The 22918-nt window shown below is 41.6% G+C and overlaps 1 protein-coding gene and 1 long non-coding RNA gene across 5 annotated transcripts in view; both read left to right on the forward strand.

Moving 5' to 3' along the window:
• The window catches only part of POU3F3 (POU class 3 homeobox 3), a 74498-nt gene that overhangs the window by 49222 nt on the left and 2358 nt on the right, over nt 1-22918 (forward strand). The gene's annotated exons all lie outside the window — the stretch shown is intronic.
• On the forward strand, nt 5233-8338 carry DALIR (DNMT1-associated long intergenic non-coding RNA). Its single transcript, NR_197589.1, has one exon. It is a non-coding gene; the product is annotated as a DNMT1-associated long intergenic non-coding RNA (long non-coding RNA).

Below are 22918 nucleotides of genomic sequence, written 5' to 3' on the forward strand. Positions count from 1 at the left end.
ATTTTAATAGTCTCAAAGTTCAACCTTTTCCCCTGGATTGCTGTTATAGACCATGTGGACTGTACAGGCTTTGCAGTTGTTTGCCCCTTTCCTGCTGTACCGATAGGAGAGTAGCGGTCAGTCAAATCCCCAGCAGTGACTGTGTGCATCTCCCTCACAGTCATTCATTCCCTTATAGCAAAAATATGGCAGCTATGGCAATCTGAAGAAATGTTAATTTCTACTAGCTAGTTATGTTTAATGATTTTTTTCTTACCTGAATAAAAGGGAGAAAAAATAATTTTTATAATGGTGGTCTGAATTATAAGAAACATCCAAATAAATTACAAATTCTCCACTAAAGAAATAACTATTCACCACACTGAGACAGGGCAATGTTAAGGGTATGCAGACAAAGGTAATGCAGGGCCTCCGCTTAATTGCCCTGACATCGCGCTTAGTTCCTCCAGCGACACTCTGAGAGCTAAAAATCTCTCATTGTTATTAATTGTATTCCTTTTAGAATGTAATGTCATATCGCTGCAGGCTGAGCTAATGAAACATACCCATATTACCAAAATAGGCATATTTCTTTTTGTTCAACGCGTTCTATCAAAACTGTCTGCTAAAGACATTGTGTTAAAGATCCTTTCATAGTGTAATATAAAGAATATCTCAACTACCTCAACATTTCTATTACACAATTACTAAAATGCCCAGGAGGACTAAACAATATAGTGTGAATTCAGTTATCCTATAAGACTTTAGAAATATTGCTAATTCCTACCTCTGATTTATGTTAATATTAATGCTAGATTACATGCTATGGCTTCTGAACAGCCACTGCATACCAATTGGTACAAAGGCAGGGTGCTCCCATGCACCGGTGCTATATGCCTCTATTATAATGAGAATCTGAATTATTTATCTCTATTTATCCTACAGGAGTTCACCTGACCTCAGTCCCATTTTCTTTTCCTACTGCACATCAATACATGTAAACATGACTTCAGAGCTGCTGCACGCTTTATGTGTGCTGTTCTGTTTCAGCCACAAGGCACAGTAATAGGCAGTAGACAAAATGTTACACCACTAAGAGAATTCATTTAAGCATTTATTTGAGGTAAACTCTCCTAATTAAGTCAACTTTAACACAGACACGCAAATGGCACCAGGCATATGTGTCTGGCGCCTAAACGTTGTCTGGTGAGCCCAAAGGAAGTCAGGCAGTGGCAGGACAAGGAGACGGTTAATAAATTCAGCCTCTCCTTCCTATAACCTTTCTGTTAGAAAAATGTTTGTCTGTGGGGGTTAAGAAGCTCTACGGGTTCTTGCAGGAAGATGGGCTTTTCATTCTTTGGCTTGTACATACATCAGCTACATTAAGATTTGGTTCTGATTTTGCTTTGATAGTTACTCAAGTTGGTCTGCTGAATGACCAGCAAGTTCCTTTCCTTGCTCAAGGAAAGGCCAAGGTGAGTTGAAATGATTGGAAGTCGTAGGTAAGATTCAGATTCTTAGCTGAATGGCCTTAAGCTTTCTGAGATGGGGAAGGTTCCAGAGGGCCTAGAGTATGAAAGAGAACTTTCATGGTAGGTATTGTGGGGATGAAGCATTTGCAAAGCACTACAAAGCCAGAATTTCCATCAGAAGAAGAACAAGTTGCCAGCAATTGGATTTGCAATAATTTAGGTAGCCCAAAGTAGCACATTAAAGTGGCACTCTCTACTCTGCAGCTGTGGGGAACGGTTGGAGGGTCAACTACTTAGAGCTAATTATCAGAGAGTGAACCATTAAAACCCTCTTAGGTGATCAAATGATGTACCTTTAGTTCATCTGAACCTATTACAGTATAGTCTATCATATGTCACCAACAGGGCCACTGTAAAGTGTACATAAAGTAGGAGTGAAATGGGTATAGCAAAAAGTCCTGGAAATGTGAGTTTGTATTTATATAAAAAATCAACCAAAAAAATCAAGAAATAAAGTATTAATGAGTATATACTGCAAAGGGCAATCCAGTGGAACGAATCCAGTTAATAACCAATAACCTGTGAAATGTGAATCTCAAACAAGAATATGAATTTATTTGTTTACTATAAATGTTCCTTACTATAAATGTAAGGAACATTTATAGTGTTCCTTATCTAAATTGTGGTATAATATATGGCATGGCACACACTTCTTTAACACACCTTGTAGAAAGGCAAAGTCAAATGTATACTGAGGTACATCAGTTCCTGTCCTTTACACGTCTCATGTATAGGACGATGTATATCAGTTCCTGTCCTTTACACATTCCAAGCCCTCTAAGACTGAAGCTCTTAAGGCTGTGGTACCTGGGGTGCAAGAGAGGGGCGTGGAGGGGATGAGAACCAGGCAGATGAATAATGCAGTTTGGGAAGAGAAAGGCAGAGAATGAGTCTCTGGGCCCGCTGAATTCCTCAGGCCAGACTTCCCAGTGAGCTCACGAAACATGTAGGAAATGGAGCCATTATTCCAGAGATCCTAGCCAGCCCTAAGACCTGGTATCAACCCCATGGGTATTTAACCAGCACAGACAACTGCCATCGCAGCGACAAGGTCCAACTGGGATGAGCACGGATTTGGAAATGAGCATCTGGACACCTGGAACTCCTAGCTGGCTGGCTGCTCATGTGCCTCCTGGTCTGTTAGCTCAATAACACGACCTTTCATCTCACATGATTGATTTTGTTGGATTCCACTCATAGCATCATGACAGACTTTTACTACCTATTTTCCTTCTTTTAAAATTTCATTCTATTATAAGAGTAATACATGCAATTTTTTAAATAGACCATAGTATTTAGTACATAGACTATTTTACAAACTGCATACTTCCACTTTATGCATATAGTGGAAGTCCCTTTATTCTTACCCTCCAGGGTTAACTACTATAACTGTCTGCTGAATGGTATGTCAGATTTTACTTACATATGTATTAATATGTAACTGAAGAAGAGTTTTGTTTTAACAAAGTTCAGTGTCCTATTAGACATTAATGTGTGTATTAGTTTTCTGTGACTGTTGTAACAAATCACCACAAACTGGGTGGTTTAAAACAACAGAAATGTATTCTGCAAGCCAGAAGTTCAAAATCAAGGTGTCGGCAGGGTCATGCCTCTGAGGTTTTAAGAGGGAATGTGTTCCAGCCCTCTTTTCTAGTTTCTAATGGCTTCCAGCGATCCTCAGCCTCCTTAGCTTATAGCTTCATTGCTCCAATTTCTGCTTTCCTCTGCAGGACGCCATCTTCCCTCTGTGAGTGCCTGTGTCCAAAATATTCTCTTATAAAAACACTGGTTCTTGGATTAGGGCCCACTCTAATTCAGTATGACCATCTTAACTTGATTGCATCTGCAAACATCCTGTTTCCAAATATGGTCACATTCTCAGGTTTTGGGGGTTTGAACTTGAACACACCTTTTGAGGGGACACAATTCAACCCACAGCAATGGGAACATATTTGGCTGGTGATAGCCTTTGAAAGTCATGAACAAATAGATGGGAGAGTTTTTGGTTGGCTTGCTTGCTTGCTTCATTGGCATACAAACAATTTTCTATATTCATGTAGTTCCAGTTGGCAATCATTCCTCACACAGCTTCTAATTTTTGTTTGATGCATAGAAAGGTCTTCCTCACTTTAAGATTATAGAAATAGAGCATATTCATTTTTTTCCTGTTGCATCTTTGATCCATTTGAATTTATTTTGATGAGAAGTAAAACAGAGATCCAGCTTTATTTTTTCAAAGAGCTAGTTGACTAGTTCGCAATCTGCATGTAATACCCCAGCTTTTCTGCATGGAATGCCCTTTTTATAATACAGACAATGGATCAGTAGCTGGGTTTATTTCTAGACTGTCCATTGGATCTATTAATCTGCTTGTTAATTCCTGTCCCAGTACAATGTCTCCCAGTTTTTATTAGTGCAGCTTTCTGTTGCGTTTTAGTGTCTGGTAGAGATTGTTTTCTATTGTTGCTCTTCTTTTCTCCTTCTAGAATTGTCCTGGTTAATCCCAAATAAATGTTTATTCTTCCAGATAAACCTTGGTGTCCTTTTTGTCATGTTAAAAAAGGAACTTCTATTGGGATTGTACTGGGAAGGACTGACTTCTTCAACCTGTCGATATCTGCCCTGTTCCAGCAAAGTTGTTTCTCCATTATGCGATTTTTTTAAGTCCTTCAGCAGATTTTTATAGTTTTCTCCATATAGATTTTGGACATTGCCTGTGTAATTTATTCTTAGGCATGTTGTGTTTTTGTTTGTTTTTCTATTGTGAATGGAATCTCTGAATTACACCCCATTTCTCCTCCTACTTATTCTCCACATCAGTCTGATAGCAAGTACTGGTAGTTCCTTCCGCATCTGAAATATACGTCTATGCATGTTTCCCTGTTGCCACCTCACCACCATCTCTCTCTTGCCTGGGCCACAGCTTTCCACCAATACTTTCAACAATCTATTTCTGCGTATCTGTCGGGGTTGGCTTTCTCAGCAGTCCACAAAATCATACGAACACCCCTACCTTCCTGCCTTTCAGTGGCATATTGCACGCGAAAAAAGACCCAGCAGGCATCCTGTGGGATCCTGCCCCAGCCCCTCATCGTCATCCTAGCTCCTTCCCCCATCTCTCTAACATGCCAAGCTCCTTTTCCACAGCTCTTTCCCCGTTCCGTTTGTGCTTCCTTCTCTGCCTTCCTCTGGCTCTTTGCATGAGTGGATAATTCTCATCCATCACATCTCAGCTCCTATTCCATCTTCTAGGAGAGGCCTTCCTGGGCCACCCTACAGAATGCAGGACTTTCCTCACCCATCTGTCCCTGACCTCTCTAATTCCAACATCCCATCCCCTTATTCTCCTGAATTCCTTCATAGCACTTGCCACTGCCTAAAAAGCCTTGTGTATCTACTTGGGTATTTGCTTTTTAGTGTATTTTGCTTATTTCCTTTAATTACAAAGCAAGCGACTAGAGAACAACTACTCTCCTATTTTAGCTACGTCCCTAGGGCTTGGCACAAAGCAGCCTCTCAAGTGAAAAAGCATTGAGCAAATAAGTGGATGTTACCTCTGCTTTTTTCTCCTGTCTTATATTTGCAGAATAAGAAGCTACTATTATTATTATTTTTTGAAGTAGCTATCCATTCCTTTTGCTTTTGGCTAAGGCTTGGTTTAATCCTCATGGGATTTTCCAGGTATACAATCCTATTACATTATCTGCAAGTAATAAAAATTTTGCCTCCTTCTTTCCACCATTTATATTTCTTATTTTGTTATTTTAATTACTTTGACTAGTACTTCTAGAACAATTTTAAATAACATTGGTGATAACGGGGCCCCTTGACTTGCTATTGACTTTAGTAGAAACACTTCTCTTGTAGGGTTTTACTATAAAGCATGATACTATGATATGGATACTGGAATGAATGTGTGAGAGTGTGTGTGTATGTGCATGTGTGTGTGTGATTTTATCATGTTAAGAATGTATGCACCTAGACCTATTATAGAAAGGTTTCTAAAAGTCAGGATTGGATATTGTCTTTATTAAGACACATTTCAGTACTTGTTCAGGTTAACAAATGATTAATTTATTAACATGGCGAATTGCATGAATAGATTTCTTAATATTAAACTATTATTTCCTTCTGAGGTGAAGTCCATTTGGTCTTTTTAAAGAGTGCCCTGCCATTTCTATTTACCAATATTTTATTCAGGATCTTTGCAGCAACATGCATGAGTACTCCCAGACATGGATGGTTCACTTTCCAGGGCTGTCATTGATGAAAATGCTTTGGGATGAGTACATCTCTAGAAGCAAAGTTAAAAAAGAAAAGAGAAAAGAAACCAAGATTCAGAACTCATGTCTTCCCACAGGTTTATAACATGGTAAAACAGTGATAATTTTGTAGAAATAGCTGTGGATAAGAAGATGAGAGAGTACAATCATTCTTTAAGAGTAAGAAGTAAAGAATTGTAGAAGAAAGACGAGTGAATTTTCAAGAGCACGTGACCACCTTGTCCAAGGAGAAAGGAGCAACTGAGGAATCTCCCACTGTCCTCACTCATCAAGGAGTCTGCTGTGACCTCATGATCCTCTATGATCTAATGATACATAAGCAGAGTAGGAGAAGCTGAGATCAACTCTATTTGAGCAAGAGTGAGGAAGATTTCCCTGTCTCCCAGCTGAGTAACCACTCAGGTTTATTTAAATCCAGTTTAAATATGGTTTCAGTAATGATTTTCCAATGGTCTACAGCAAAGAATGTAAGAATCAATCCTTAAGCTAGGCAATGCATGGAGACATCAATTATGCTAAAATATTTAAACTATTTCATAAGAGTAGATAATGATGCATAGTAAATTGTGTCCTGCTGATAATATTAGAAAATACTTAGGCAAGATGGACATACATGTATATTTTAAAACAATTCTTTTTCTTTTTTCTTTCTTTCTTACTCTTTTCTTTTTTTAAGTACTTGCACTTTTTAAAGATTCCTAGAGAACCAGATGGGTGATGAAATATCTCAAAATACCAGGTTTCACACGTGATAGTAATATTGGGAGAAAAAAGTGACACTAGAAATTATTTAGTTATTCTGAAATCTGTCACTTCTTGAAAACAGCACCAGAATTAAGAAATAAAATTAATCGTGTAACATTGTGTTCTCACATTTTCAATTCAGCTAGTGAATTATGAGGCCAAAATTCCTTAAGACAATTACCCCAGGGCCTTAGTCGGCTCCCAAGTCTCTGCCTTTCACCTGAGAAAGAATTTCCAAACTGCCTGATGAGGGAGAAAACCATATCCATGGTCCCAGCGGTCTGGAGGATCCCAAGAATCTGGATGGGAAGCCAGAAGATATGCCAGAAAAGACCCACAAATGGTACCCTGGGATACAAAAGGAAGACTCCTTTAACGCCAGCCAAGAGATGTGTGTGTTACTGTAAGAAGCCAGTGTCATGAGCTGAAGCTCTAACTTGCCTGTGATCCATTAGTCTCACCTGGTGCTTGCCGCTGCCCCTGTTCCGGCCGGACATGGCCCTCTGTGTCTGTGCCTGCCAATCAGCCTCTTGCCCATGCCTGGCTGTGCCCTTCACAGCTGCCTCTGCCAGGGCACTGGCTGCGGGCTGGGCCAGGTCAGGCTGCTTCCCAGCTGGGCTCCCCACAGCCACAGTCAACTCCCATTTTGACATGAAGCCATTTAAATGGAAATCCAGTTTTACAAAGCGCAAGTGACTGGTAATGAAGACGTGACTGATGCTTATGCGAATTTTATTTAATTTTAAATCAATTGTGGATTCTAATTCATTAATAAGGGGGAAAAAGCATGCAGGAATGCCTAATCTCTTGTCATTATTCAAATACAAGAGAGTACTTCTTCATATATAATTCTTAGGGAAATTGTCAATTTCCCATTTTCCCTGAAAATCTATTTTTATAGAAAAATGTGGGCCCAACTCACTCTTTAAAAAATTAGATTTGGCTTTATTGGACATTACATAAACAAGGATAAAAAACGTCCAACCAAGCACTTGACTGAATTTTTCACCATTTCGTCATTTTTGTTATTGTATAGATGGTCTAAAAATCACATTATGACCAACCAACAACTTGGCTTTGGTGATAATTAAGTATCTGAGAAAAATATGGTAGCCCTTATGACAGACTCAAGCACTAAAAATGGGCTACAATAGAAGAGTGACTTGGGGTTCTTTATGGGGTTCAAGCTCTTCAGCCCATGTCTTCTTTGGGCTGCTCAACTTTCTCTGGGGTCAAATGAAAGTCAAGTTTGGGCAACAGTGATCGTTACAGCTCTCTTTGGCTCCCCTAAGACTCAGAAGAGCAATATATCTACAAGCGGCTTCTTCTCTACTCTACAAATTAAGTGGAAAGGAAAGAAATGCTGTCTGAATTCTCTTTTCCTCCACTCAATGGGCCCTTGCATTCTCCTTATTCCACCGACAGCCATGCAACTACAGGCAGATCGTGTAAACTCTCCAGGTATTATTTCACTTATCTGTAAAATAACAATACCTACCTCACAGGACTAATGTGAGGGTTAATTGAGAGATGATATATCAACTATTGTGACAGTGAAGTGCTTAGTAGGCTGCTAAAGATATAGTAAGTACTCCAAAAATGTTAGCTAATTCTACTGTTGTACCTGAAGGAGATCATAAAGCTCTCCAAATGGAAGAATGGTTTCGAATTTACTGAGAGTTTTTGCAAAATGAGATTAAGTTGATGTTAAGAAAGAGGATAACTGTATACAGTTGGCCCTGTGTATTCATGGGTTCCACATCCATGGATTAAACGAACTATGGATGTAAAATGCTCAGGAAAAAAAGAAAGAAAAAAGAACAATAAAAAGACAAATACAACAATAAAAACAATAAAAAAATACAAATTTAAAAATATAGTATAACAACAACTTACATAGTATTTACATTGTATTAGGTATTACAAGTAATCTAGAGACGATTTAAAGTATATGGGAGGATGTAAGTAGGTCATATACATATGGCCATTTTATATCAGGGACTTGAGTATTCATGGATTTTGATAGCCCAAGGAGTCCTGGACCCAAATGCCCATAGATACTGAGGGACAACCGTATGGTCAAAATGTGCTACATGGGCCGGGCATGATGGCTTACACCTGTAATCCCAGCACTTTGGGAGGCCAAGGTGTCATGTGAGGTCAGGAGTTCAAGACCAGCCTGGCCAAAATGGCAAAATCCCATCTCTACTAAAAAGTACAAAAAAAAAAATAGCCAGGTGTGGTGGCAGGCACCTGTAATCCCAGCTACTAGGGAGGCTGAGGCAGACAGAATTGCTTGAACCTGGAAGGCAGAGGTTGCAGTGAGCTGAGATCGCACCACTGCACTCCAGCCTGGGCGACAGAGCGAGACTCCGTCTCAAAAAAAAAAAAAAAAAAAAGTGCTACACGGCCACAAACAGTCATAAGACATTGCAAGGGATGTGCTGAAAGGGAGATGCTGCCTGTGATGACCCAGGCAGTGAACAGAGTGGAACATAAGAGAAGTGTGGTGGGAACCATGTCCTGAAAGCCTGGGAGAAGAGCATCTCCCAGCAGGTTCATGGCTGGCTTTGAGGACTTGAAAAGCCCTACATACCCCCTGACACAGAGAAAATAAAAAACATGAATTTATCCATGAGTGTTAAGGTAAGGAGGAGAGTGGAGGAAAAGATGTGGAAGAGAAAGGACAACTACAAAGAGAGGAACCATCCGAGACTGGGAAGCATGAAAAGCTGATTCAGGAAACTCTACCTACCCCAGACCCAAACAAGTGGTCTCGAGAGAGAGAGGGAGAGAGAGAGAGAGATGCGAGAGAGGGGGAGAAGCTGTAAGTGACACAGAAAAGTATGTTGTGTAAATAAATATGCAAATACAAGCTGATATATAATATTATTATATTAAAAACTTAAGAGCCAATTTTCCAAAAGTCTTTATCCTGAAGTCAAGTCTATCAATAAAAGTGTACCTCTGACTGCAGCGCGCCTGTTGATAGCTTTTTGGGTGTGCACGCCACTCACAGGCCCAAGCCCGGAGCCCCACAGGCCGTCTCTGCCTCCAGCACCCAGGGTGCCGTCATGGGAGCCATCCCCTCCAGGGATTCGGAGCAGTGTGTTTGATTGCCGTCACTGCACAGAGCAGTGCCGAGTTTGTTCGTGCTGGTCGGGCAAGCATCAAGCACAGAACCTAGCGCATTGTGGGTGCTTGACAAGTGTTTCTTGAATAAACAAAGGAAGGGGGAAGGAGGGAGTTTGGGGCTGGGGAAGCCTCCATCGTAGCTGAGATCACTCACCGGCATCATTGGCCACTCCGCCCTCACGAAAGCCAGTTCTGCTTCTACTCTTGACTGGTCCTTGCATTCCCACGCCAAAGCTGTTGAGCACCATTTAAAAGCATGCTTAGAAAATCACTATGTGGTGTGGGGGGCCCCCACAGGAGTTACTAACAGATGGGTAAGGATAATCTGCTCAGATTCAATACCTGAGTAGCTTGACTATTTTCTCTTTCACACTTCCAAAGAGCCATTTTTAATCCCTTATCTTTAGGGTTTGAAGAGAAGACTCAAGATGTGTACTTTATTTTCTTATTTTCTCTTATTTTATTTCTATGTAAGGGTGCTCCAAGCCTGAACATTGAGCACGACCCAGGTCATATGCACAACACGACAGGTTGAGCGTCCATGTGTGGCTACTGGGTTTGCTGGGGACACCTCTTGCCTGCCAGGGTGAGCACACGCAGCAGTGAGCAGCCCCGTGTGACCCCACGGGATGAGGATGCCATGATGTCAGCATCCCTTCTGACTTGGAGGTATGTGACATTCATGGTGCCAATGCCACTGTCACCTTGCAGATCAGTCTGGGTTTGCTTCAGACAGAAGATCCTGGAATATGTTCAAGCATTACTCATCTCCAGACTTTTTCAACCCAATAAATTTTCATACTACTTGAATTATTACTCTCAAGATGCGTGTTTTTATTTCATTTACCTAGATTGAAAAGAAAAACATGTAGTGGGCTTTACTGGGTGAATGGCCACGGGATTGCAAACCACTTGGATGTGGGGCAATTGAAACGCAGCTTTGTTGGGCCTTGTTCTCCAGCCCGCAGCCAGAGGCAATGCTTGTGACCGTGACAGGCCATTCAGACTTGGGCCTGTTGGCTTTTTTTTTTTTAAAGAATAGATTCCCTGGCTGGCTTCTTGCAGTAACACACACATTCCTTGGCTGGCATTAAAGGAGTCTTCCTTTTGTATCCCAGGGTACCATCTGTGGGTCTTTTCCAGCATATCTTCTGGATTCCCATCCAGATTCTCAGGGGATCCTCTGGACCCCGTTGGGACCATGGACATGGTTTTCTCCCTCATCAGGCAGTTTGGAAATTCTTTCTCAGGTGAAAGGCAGAGGCTTGGGCACTGACTAAGGCCCTGGGGTAACTGGCTTAATGTTCCTGACATCACCCTCTGTGTCTATCAGAGCTAAAAATGCAGGTACTATCAGAAGACTCAGGTGACCAGTGCTGAAGTCACCACTCAGTCCAGGAATCACACAATCAAAGGCTCTGCTGTGGGATTTAACACCCATCAGAGCACTCAGTAAAACGTATGTGAATAAGGTTGGGTCACCAAGGCCCAGACAAGAGCTACGATCTTCAGCATTGGCATTTTTAAAACCTTTTCACTGAAGTATAACACACATACAGAAAACGTACCTGTACCTATGCACCCTGAACGTAGAGCCTGATACATCTTCACATCGTTATTTTCACATTCTTGTTACTGGGATGAATAGCTCTGTGTATACTTTGAAAATAAACAAAAGCTAAGCACATTTGATTATCTATCATTAAAACGAAAAAAAAAATACCTAGAAGTATACATAGCTTTTGCCTTTTAGCGGAGGCTCATTCACAGTGAATGTCCAGTTTTTGGATCTGGGAAACCCCTGGAAGATACAGAAAAGGCAGCTAGCTTTTCTATTGTCTCTCACATTCTGTTTTCCTTCCAACTCTCTGTCAAAGTCACATACTTATTTATACTCTCTGCATATGTTCTTGGGATATTTCTATTTAGTAAGAAAGCAATATCAGTGAGCATCTCTGTTTTATTAAGTTTGTCAAACAACAGAATATCCGGTCTGTTGGCCAGAATTTGTTAATCTGTTATCACGGCTCCATCCCAATACAACTTGGAGAGGCTGTTTTCCAGCACATTCTTGGGTTCATACTTATAAATGGTGTTAATCCACTCGTTAACAGAGGACTAGTTGTTGATGTAAAATCTTAGTGCCATTTTCTGCAAGTTCTTACATTTATCAGGAAAACATCCTCTCCACCTTCCAGCTCCTCTGATGGGTTGATTTAGGATAGGAGCTGATCATTTCTTCCCAAGCTGCAGAAGCCTAGACTGTGAGACCTAGAGGAAGAAACTGAGGAGTAAGACTTCTTTTTTATGAGGACAGAGTGGGGAGAAAATTCCCTATATTTGCCCAACCAGAACCCTCTTGGACCTGATGTCTTTAAAGTATTGCTATGAAATTACATTAATTAAGTAGCCAAGATCCCAGATGGAGCCTGTCAGTGTCCGTGGTGAGGGTGTGGGTATATCTGGTGTGTCTGGCGATTGGAAGACTGGCTGACTCAGAACCAGACGGCTTAGGGACTTTTGCTTTAGCTGAAGGAGGAGGGAGTTATAGCATGATGTTCCCTGCAGAAGGGGATGTAGAGAGAAAAGGGAAAGAGACAGTGTCTATCTCCTGTCCCTTCTCCCCGCAAGGAGAAGATCTGACCCGGACAGTAGGTTTGCCATTAGCACAAGCTGCAATCTGGAAGAGACTCCCTGAGACCGTGGTAAAAGCAGGGACATTTCAGGGCTAGAGTGACAGAGGGTGACAAAGAGTTGCGGGGAGCAAGGACAGTCTGCTGACCTCTCTGTGGAGCCCTGAAGGCCTCACAGGTGCCTGCAGGACCTATATTCATAGGCAGCAGCAGACACAGCTGGGGATCTGAGGTAGCGCAGGGTCACTCGGAAGGTCACACTTGTGACAAGCTGCAGACCTGCACAAAGGCGTGGCAAGAGCCTGGAGACCTGAGTCACTTCTAGCAAATTGATTCCCATCAGAATTCTCTATCTGGGGAGACCCAGGGCAAATCAGATTAATTAAATAGCAATTGTATTAGTCTTTCTCAGTTTTGACAGAGTGCCCTGTTTCAGGTAGTTGACAATGTGGCCACGGTAAGTCCTGAAGTTCAGGAAGCACCTGCAGATACTTGCTTTTGTGAGCTAGCCTGAGACAACTGAGAAGTTCAACCATGTCAGGTTGTTCAGCTGAATATGAGTAGTGGCCATGGATTGAAGGCAGATAAATGCTATTTGTCTCCTGCCCCGCAACCCTTTGTTACACATAGAGCAAGTCTCTGGCAAAATTATGCCACACAGATATTTATTAGCACAAGGAATGAAAAAAGAATCGTGGAGACCCATTCTGAGAAGTTTAGGGAAGTCCCACTCTGTCTTGCACTCTGAATGAAAGGCTGGCTCTGTGGCCCACAAGTGGTGTCTGTGGCAGCCTGGCAGGCCTCCTCTAGTGGAGACTGGGCCAAAACTACTCCAGTTCCTTACAGACATAAGGGTGGTAGGGATCCCCCAAATCCCTCAAGCCAACCACTGATCTTCAATGCCATTTCTTTCACCAATGAGAGGTTGTTTCTAACATCTCGGATGCAAATCGCTGGACTGTCCAGGACACGTTTCGAGAATGATACTTGAAGCACTTCCTTTGGAGTGTGGGTTCCTGGTGAAAATCTTTCACCTTATAACTCATCACCCCTGAGGTATGGGTTCTGCTTAGGGTCTTTTAGATGCTAATTGCCATTCCTAGGATGTCCTTTACAGCAAAGGTGAACACACACCTCACATCCATGGTTGATTGTGAAGTATTTAAAGTAAACAATATGACATGCTGTGTGCACCTCCAGCAAGGGTGGCCCCTCATAGAAAATAAAACCATCGGTGCCCTCAGATCATTTCTAGAACATATAGCAAACATACATGATGAAACAATTTTAATATTTGTGCCATCCCTTATAGTTTATAAGATACTCTAACACAGAAGACTGTCTAATTCTCATTTAAAGATAAATATAACTCATTTTAATAATAAAGAGCTCAAGATTTACAGAGCCTGAGAGCTTATGATTAGATAATCCATTAATTTATACATTATCTATCTAACTAGATTTATTGACAGCCTACTCTGTGCCAAACATTAGGATAGTTGCTTAGATGTAGTGATGAACAAGTGTATTTGTCATTTCTTGCTGGGTAAGAAATGAACCCAATGCTTAACAGATTATTATCTCATGGTTCCTGTGGTTCAGGGGTCTGGGTGTGGCTTACCTGCGTGCCTCTGATTCAAAATCTCTCATGAGGTTATAGTCAGGCTGTCAGCTGAGGCTCCATTTGTCTCAAAACACAACAAGGGCTGGAGAATCTGCTCTCAAGCTCACCTCTGTGGGCCTCTTTCCACAGGGCCGCCTTATGACATGGTGTTTGACGTCCCCCAGCAGGAGGTATCTAAGAGGTATACCCAAGATAGAAGCCACAACCTTTTCCTTAGTCTCACAAATAACCTCTGATTATCCCTCCCATATTCTAGCACAGCAAGTCAATAAAGTGGGTCCACACTCAAGGGGAGGGGATGGGAGTCCCAGGTAGCAAGGATGATCTGGGGCCATCTTAGAGGCTGCCTAACAGAGAGAGCAAATCCCACACTGCTGCGAAGGTTAATCTTATGGATCAACTTGACTGCACTAAGGGATGCCCAGATAGTTGGTAAAACACCATTTCTGAGTGTGTCTGAGTGTGATCCAAAAGAGATTAGCATTTGGATCAGTAGACTCAGTAAACAAGATCAGCTGTCACCAATGTGGGTGGGCACCATCCAATCTGCCGAAGGCCCAGAAAGAATAAAAAGGCAGCAGAAAGATGATTTCACTCCCTCTCTTCTTGAACAGAGACATCCATCTTCTTCTGCCCTCAGTCACCGGTGCTCCTGGTTCTCAGGCCTTCAGGCTCAAACCAGAACTCACACCACTGGCTCCCCTGGTTGGGATGAGACCCACACCACTAGCTTTCCTAGGCCAGCTTGCAGATGGCAGCTTGTGGGACTTTTCAGCCTCCATAATTGCATAAGCCAGTGTGCAATCTAAATCTCCTCTATAATCTATGCATAGATACGTATGGCTCTATTTATCCTATGGGTTTCGTTTCTTTGGAGAACCCTGACTAATACAACTGCCCTGCTCCCAAGAGCTTGAGATGACTATTGTCATAGAGACAACAACTATGACTATAGAGACAATTGTTAATCAAATAATTCCACTATGTTGACTTAGAATTGATTGATATGCTATAGAGGCAAGGCATAGGATGCTACAAGGGTGTATAAGAGAGGGGCCTGAGCAAGTCTGAAGGTAACAGGTTCTTCTGAAGAAGTGATGTTTGAATGAAATTTGGGGGGATGGGAGTTTGAGAAGGGGGCAGCAGGGAAGAGGAAGTGGGCACAGTCTGTGTAAAGGCTCCAAAGTGCAAAGAAACTTTGCTTTGTAAGGAAGTGAGGGAAGGTCAGTGTCTTCATGAAACTATCCACTTGGTTTCAGGTAACATAGAAGTCATTTTCTCTCCAGGAACACTACATGAATAAGCAGCCCAGTACTAGGGTGGTGATTCAGCTCCACCACCAGAATCCAGGATTCTTCTCTCTTATCCCTCCCTTGCTGGGGGGTTGCCCTTTTCCTCAGAGTTTACATCAGCTGCCCCCACATCTATGTTCTAAGCAGCAGAGTTGGGGAATGGGGCAAGAGAAGGAAGAAAGATATATTATCCTCTTCCTTTCAGTATATGACCTAGAAGGGCACCCTAGCCTGAGTTTAGTTACATAACCAAAGCTAGCTGCAAGACAACCTGGAAATATGGTCTTTATTCTGGGCATCCATGTATCTAGATAAACCTGAAGATTCTGTTCTGATTATAGCATAAGAATAACTTCTGCTATGGCTTGTTCCTTTGTCCCTGCAAAGAGCTGTGCATATCTCCCTTTGGAACACACTCACTGACTTCCCAAGTCGTAAAATCCTAAGCCTACATCTGGATACTGCATCTGGTTCAAAGTCTCAGGATTTCTTGCCAGTAAAATTCTTTCAATTTGGAATTCCCTCCAGCAGGCCCGGATGTAGAATTCTATTCTGGTGACCCGTGAACTAAGAGACAAATTATTTATCCTTGACATACCTATAATACAATGGAAGAGAAGGAATCAAGTGTTATGGGTTGAATTGGGTCTCCCCAAAATTCATATGTTCAAGTTCTAACCTTCAGTCACTCAGAACGTGACCTTATTTGGAAATAGAGTCATTGCAGCTGTAATGAGTTAAGATGAGGCCATACTGGTGGAGGGTGGGCCCTAATGCAAGGTGACTGGTGTCCTTATAACATGAGGACACCTGAACACAGGTACACACAGGGAGAACATCATGTGAACAAGGAAGACAGACATGGTGTGATGCCTCTACAAACCAGGGAGCACCCAAGGTCACCAGCAAACCACCAGAAGCCAGGAGAGAGGCCTGGAGCAGATTCTCTCTCGCAGTCTCTGAAGGAGCCAATCCTGCCAACACCTGGATCTCAGGCTTCCAGCTCCAGAACTGGGAGATGACACTAAGCCACATAGTTTGTGGCACTTTGTTAGGGTAGCCCTACTAGGCTAATACATAGAGTAATTATAACACTCTCCTGCCCCGATCTGCAAAGAGAAAGATGAAAAATTTCCAGTGACCGCTCACTCATGAAAACACTTTTTTTTTTTTTTTGAGATGGAGTTTCAAGCCCAGGCTGGAGTGCAATGGCATGATCTCAGCTCACCCCAACCTCCGCTTCCCAGGTTCAAGCAATTCTCCTGCCTCAGCCTCCCGAGTAGCTGGGATTACAGGCATGCGCCACCACGCCCAGCTAATTTTGTATTTTTAGTAGAGATGGGGTTTCTCTATGTTGGTCAGGCTGGTCTTGAACTCCTGACCTCAGGTGATCCGCCCACCTCGGCCTCCCAAAGTGCTGGGATTACAGGCGTGAGCCACCATGCCTGGTCCATGAAAACATTTTATGCTAGCTTCCTGCCTGTGGAGAACAGTATGTGCTGTGTGTGCATGCACATTAGATCATCTGGTAGCTCCACATCTTGCTCTCTGGGAGGAACTTCCCTGCACATTGTCTTCAGTGTTCCTGGACTTTGCCCTCTGGACTTAATCCATTCCTTCTGTGGCAGCATCTGAGATGAACACTGGTGAGTTTGTCCTTCTTGGCAGCTGTCCAGCTTTCAGAGCCCATTCCTGCCAGCGCCACTTCAGAGGCCCAGGAGTGGCTTTAGGGGTTGAATGTTCACAGGCTTGGGCAGGCCAAACATCCGACTTATTTGGCAATGTAATTGCCTCAAAAACTCAGTCACCTCCTGGCCCATCAATCCCATGTACAAGTAACTTCAGCCAATTAACCAAGTTTTTAAGCCTGCAGCTTCGGTTTTTTTATTTACTGGTCCTGTGTTCTATTTACTTCTCTTTCTCTCAACTGAATGATAGCATTTGGAGACTCCTGAAACAATAGGCTTCAGAAAGGAAGCCACACAATGTATTTGACACTGGACTACCATTTACCCTCTCCTCTTCTTCCCTTTCCCCTCGCCTCTTCTCCTCCCTTGTCTCCTTCCCTTCCCTTCCTTCCTCTCCCCTCCTCCTCTCCTCTTCCTCTTCCCCCTCCTCCTTTCTCTCTCTCTCTTTCTCTCTCATTGTCTGGCTTTGGAAAAATCACACACACACAGAGGCGGCTGAAAAGGACTTTGGATCACAAACTTATCTCTTCCTAAGCATGTAGCTTTATTTACAATGGCTTTATTTCGGGGCACAGGAACAGCTATTTATTTATTTATTCATTTATTTATTTTTTTATTATTATTTGAGATGGAGTCTTGCTCTGTTGCTCAGGCTGGAGTGCACTGGCGCAATCTCAGCCCACTGCAACCTCTACCTCCCGGGTTCAAGGGATTCTCCCGCCTCAGTCACCCGAGCACCTGGAATTACAGGCGCATGCCATCACGCCCAGCTAACTTTTGTATTTTTAGTAGAGATGGGGTCTCACCATGTTGGCCAGACTGGTGTTGAACTCCTGACCTCAGGTGATCCATCCGCCTCAGCCTCCCAAAGTACTGGGATTACAGGCGTGAGCCACCGTGCCCAGCCACAGCTGACTTTTTAAAGCAGTCTCTCAGTCAACCTAGATTTTATGTTACAGACATTGAGTTCTGCCCTTTGAAGCACAAAATCCCCTTCCATCCCTGCTTGCCAACTGACTATCTCCAATGTGAATTTATCTCTCCCTTTTAGGCCTTTTGCAAAAAGCAGCAAGAAGCAGGAAACACCCAACAGAATTTTAAATTGACCCGACCAATTTTCTGTAGAGCTAAGATGTGGTCAGTATGTGATCTGGCTCCCAGGTTATTGCAGAAGATGGTTTTACAAAGCATTTTACCATACCATAAAAAGGGGCCATTGCCTTCCAGCCTGCAATTTCTGAGTCTTTGAAACTGGCTTCCACCTTGAAGTCAATACCACATATTTTAGGCACTTCTAGTATCAGATTCTATTTTATTTGGGTATGCTATACATGTAGCTACATGTAGAAGGGCTCTAAAATAAATGTGACATAAATAGGCATTCATTCTCACTTATATAACTGTCCAACAGTAGGTGATCTGGAGCTGCTATGTAGCTCTGCGCCATTAAGTCATTTGCAGTTGTGTTACAATCTCTAAGGTGTTACTCTCAGCGCTATGATCCAAGAAGTCTCCCCCCACATTCATGTTCCAAGCAGCAGGATCAGGAAGATCCTGATCCACACCTCCTCCCTTTAAGGACTTTATTCAAACTTACATCCATCTTTTTTGCATACATCCTCTAATACTTAGTCCAGGGCCACACCTAGTTGCTAGGGAGGATGAGAAATATCTTTACTCTATGAGATAGGGGCTCAGCTTGAGAGGTCTAGTACTAAGAGAAAGAAGAGGACCACACAATGGGAGCAACCAGCTGTGTATCTGGCCAGCAGTGACAGAGGCGAGGAGGCCATGATATGAGGCTAGTGGTGTACGCTTCATAGCCAGCGTCCAAACTGGATGCTCATGTGCATGAAGGGGGTGCTGTCAAAAATCACACCAGGATTAGACAGAATTCTGGGAAGATGGCAGAGTAGGAAGCCCCAGGAATCTGTCTCCCCACCTAGACAATAATTGCACTGGCAGAATCTGTCTAATGTAACTATTTTGAAACTCTGGAGTACATTTGAAGTCTTGCAATTTCCTGGGGGAAAGCTTGGACAGTAAATTATGGCTAGTTTTGATCAATTTCCACCCATAACATCTACTCAGATCCCAGTCCCAAGTCAGGCAGCCATACATGGGTTCCTGGAGCAGCTTGCCAGCAGCATCAAAGATCCAGGGTGGGCAAAAAGGACCCTTCTCCTCTGACTGAAGCAACTTCCAGGGGATTTAATAGGCCAGTGCCCTCCTCTCACTTCATTTTTCTCATCTTTCCTATTTTGGGAGCCAAGCATTTTAACTCTAGGACATTCAGAAGTGACCACATAGCCAGGCATGGTGGCTCATGCCTGTAATCCCAGCACTCTGGGAAGCTGAGGCAGGTAGATCACGAGGTCAGGAGTTTGACGCCAGCCTGGCCAATATGGTGAAACCCTGTCTCTACTAAAAAATACAAAAATTAGCCAGACATGGTGGCACACACCTGTAGTCCCAGCTACTCAGGAGGCTGAGGCAGGAGAATCACTGGAACCCAGGAGATGGAGGTTGCAGTGAGCTGAGATCACTCCACTGCACTCCAGCCTGGGCAAAAGAATGAGACTCCATCTCAAAGAATGAAAAATGACCACATATTCAGGAATTTAGAAAGTCACAGTGCATGCTCAAGGATAGATGCAGGCCTTTAAAAATACCTGAAAAGACTTTAAGTTTATACCTCATGCTAATCCCTGGTACAGAGACAGCTTACAACAATCACAGGACAAAAACAAAAATAGAAATCAACAAACTCTGAGGAATGGGGAGAATCTGATTACCGGAGTTACTACATTATTAGATTCCAATGTCTTGTTTTCAATTTAATAAAAAATCATAAGGCATACAAAGAAACAGGAAAGTATGGTTCATTCAAAAACAAAAAATAAACCAACAGAAGCCATCCTGGAGAAAGACCAGATGACAGCCTTGCTAGACAAAGACTTTAAAACAATTTTCTTGAAGATGCTCAAAAAAAAAAAAAAAAAAAAGAAAGGAAATCATGTAAAAAGTCAAGAAAATGATGTATGAGCATGATGAAAATATCAATAGAAGAAACCAAAAAGACATTCTGGAGCTGAAAATGCAATAACTAAAATGAAAAATTTACTAGAGGAATTTGAAGGTAGATTTGAGCAGGCGGAAGAAAAAAATCAGTTAACTTGAAGTTAAGACGAATGAAATTATTGAGCTTTAAAAACACAGAGAAAAGTAAACACAGCCTCAGAGACCCATGGGACACTACCAAGTGGGCCAACATACATTGTGGACATTGTGGGAGTTCCAAAAGGAGAAAAGAGAGAGACTGGGGCAAAGAAATTTTTGGAAGAAATAATGACCAAAAACTTTCCAAATTTTATGGAAGACATAAACATCCAAGTAGCTCAATGAACTCCAAGTAGGATGAACTCAATGAGACCCACATCAAGACATATTATAATCAGCTTGACAAAGGCCAAAGACAGAGATAATCTTGAAAGCTACAAGAGAGAAGTAAGGGATCTTCAATAAAATTACCAACAGGTTTCTCATCAGAAATTCTGGAGGCCAGAAGGCAACATGCTGATATATTCAAAGTGCTGAAAGGAAAAAAAACTGTCAAGCAAGAATCCTATATCTAGCAAAACTATTCTTTAAAAGTGAGGACTAAATTAAGACATTCTCAGGTAAACAAGAGCTTAAGGAATTCATTACCACTAGGCCTACCCTGAAAGAACAGCTGAAAGGAGTCCTTAAAGTTGAAATGAAAGGACACTAGAGAGTAACATGAAGCTCTATGATGAAATAAAGAACTCAGTAAAAGTAAATGCATGGGAATTTATAAAAGCTGGTATTACTGTAACTTTGGTTTGTAACTCCAATTTTGTTTTCTACATAATGTAAGACATTAATGCATTTTAAAAATTATTTGTTTGGTTTTGGCCATGCAATATTTAAACATGTAAGTTTGTAACACCAATACCTGAAAGGGGGTAGGGAAGGGACTGTATAGGAGCAGAGTTGTTTTTTAATTGAAATTAAGCTGCTATTAATTCAAATCAGAGTGTTATAACTTTGGGATGTTAAGGGTAATCTTCATGGTAGTTGCGAAAAATATATAGCTGTAGAGTATACACAAAAGGAAATGAGAAGGGAATTTAAACATTTTACTACAAAAAAATCAATTAACACAAAATAGTAATGCAAGAAATGAAGTACAAAAAAGCTATAAGGCATATAGAAAACACATAGCAAAATGACACAAGTAAGTTTCTCCTCATCAATAATTATTTTAAGTGTAAATACTTCAAAATCTCCAATCAAAAGACAAAGATTGGGAGAATCTATTTTTTAAGAAATACATTATTCAACTATGCACAAGAGACTCACTTTAGCTCCAGGGACCAAATAGGTTGAAAGTGAAAGGACGAGAAGATATTCTATACAAATAGTAACCAGAAGAGAGCAGCAGTGGTTATAAACAAGGTAGTCACAAAAAGACAAATACTGTACGGTTCCATTTATATGAGGTGCATAGAGTAGTCAAATTCTGAGAGACAAAGTAGAATGTTGCTTGCCAGTGGTTGGGGAGAGAGAAGAAGGGGGAGTTAGTGTTTAACGGATACAGAGTTTCAGTTTTGCAGGGTAAGAGTTTTAGAGATGGACGATAGTGATAATTGCACAACATAAATGTACTTAATACCACTGAACTATGCACCTAAAAATGGAAAAGATGGTAAATTTCATGTTATGTGTATTTTACAATGATTTTTAAAAGCATGTTATTTAAAAAATCACTCCAGAACAAGAGGCACAAGCCAGACAGTCCCAGGCAAGCCTGGACACAGACCACCTATGGAAAGATGATGTTACAGATTTTGGATTTTTAGAAAGATGAGAAGCTACTGACCAATTCTAACTAAGGAAGGGCATGATTATATTTGAGTTGTTTAGAAAAGCATTTTGACTGCTATGCAGAATCGATGGGGAGGGGAGTAAACTCAAACCCCAGTCTTCTGTCTGCAAAGACAATTGGTTATTTAAGGTTATGGAAAGACCCATTTGCCCCCAACCAGCCCTCCCTTGGCCTACTCTGATGCTTTTGTTCTCATTACTTCGGATTAACTGTAAGATTTGTCTCCAAGAAGCATCACATTTCACAACTTTGGACTCATATTAACAGGATTTTCAACACTATGAAATAATTGTCGATCCTTCTCCTTTATAATCTCTAACCAAAATGGTTTTCGAATTCATTTTCCACTTTCAACTCTTCATAACCTCATCTCTTCATCTTTTGATCTATTCATCCTCTCTTTTTCTGAATTGATTTTATTCTTTGTCTGAAATCTTGCATCTCACTTTTGAACTTCATGTAACTGATGAAATGCAACCTCTGCTGGCTACACTATTCACTAGTTCCATTAACCAGTCCCAAAATTTTGCCAGTTTGTAAAAGGTGATTAGTTTCACTTCTTCCTTTGTGAATCTAGGGTATTATGAAAATGGCCCTGTGTATCTATTAATTGCATCAGATTTCAAAAATAAAGTAGGGAGCATTATAGACATGGCAATTTTTATACTGCAAAGATATCTTAATCCAGCAACTTTCAGTGCAATTTAAAGAATTTGCAATTTAGGTTCTATCATGAAGCCCTTTAATGAGAAATTAATCCTTGGAAAAGTGAATATTCACTCCTAGCCTACCTTGGAGCAATCTAGGGTTTTCTTCTCTGGGTTTTGTACTCATGCCTACAAGTGATTAGAGGAACTGGGAAATCAACTTCTCCACCAGCAATCCTGTCTTCACTTTGGTGGGCATTGTTGGCTATCATTTGTGCCTGGGAAAGGTAGCCCTTTATGTCTTTATTAGAGAACACTTTGTTGATTTGTATGTCAGATCATCACATGAGAATAAGATGAGAAGGGTATTAAATGGGAATGAACATAAAATTGATTCTAGGTTTGGAAGGATGTGCTTGTGAGATTGGAAATAAGAGAAGAAAGAAAATGAG

This window comes from Homo sapiens, chromosome 2 (genome assembly GCF_000001405.40).
Source record: "Homo sapiens chromosome 2, GRCh38.p14 Primary Assembly".
NCBI lineage: Eukaryota > Metazoa > Chordata > Mammalia > Primates > Hominidae > Homo > Homo sapiens.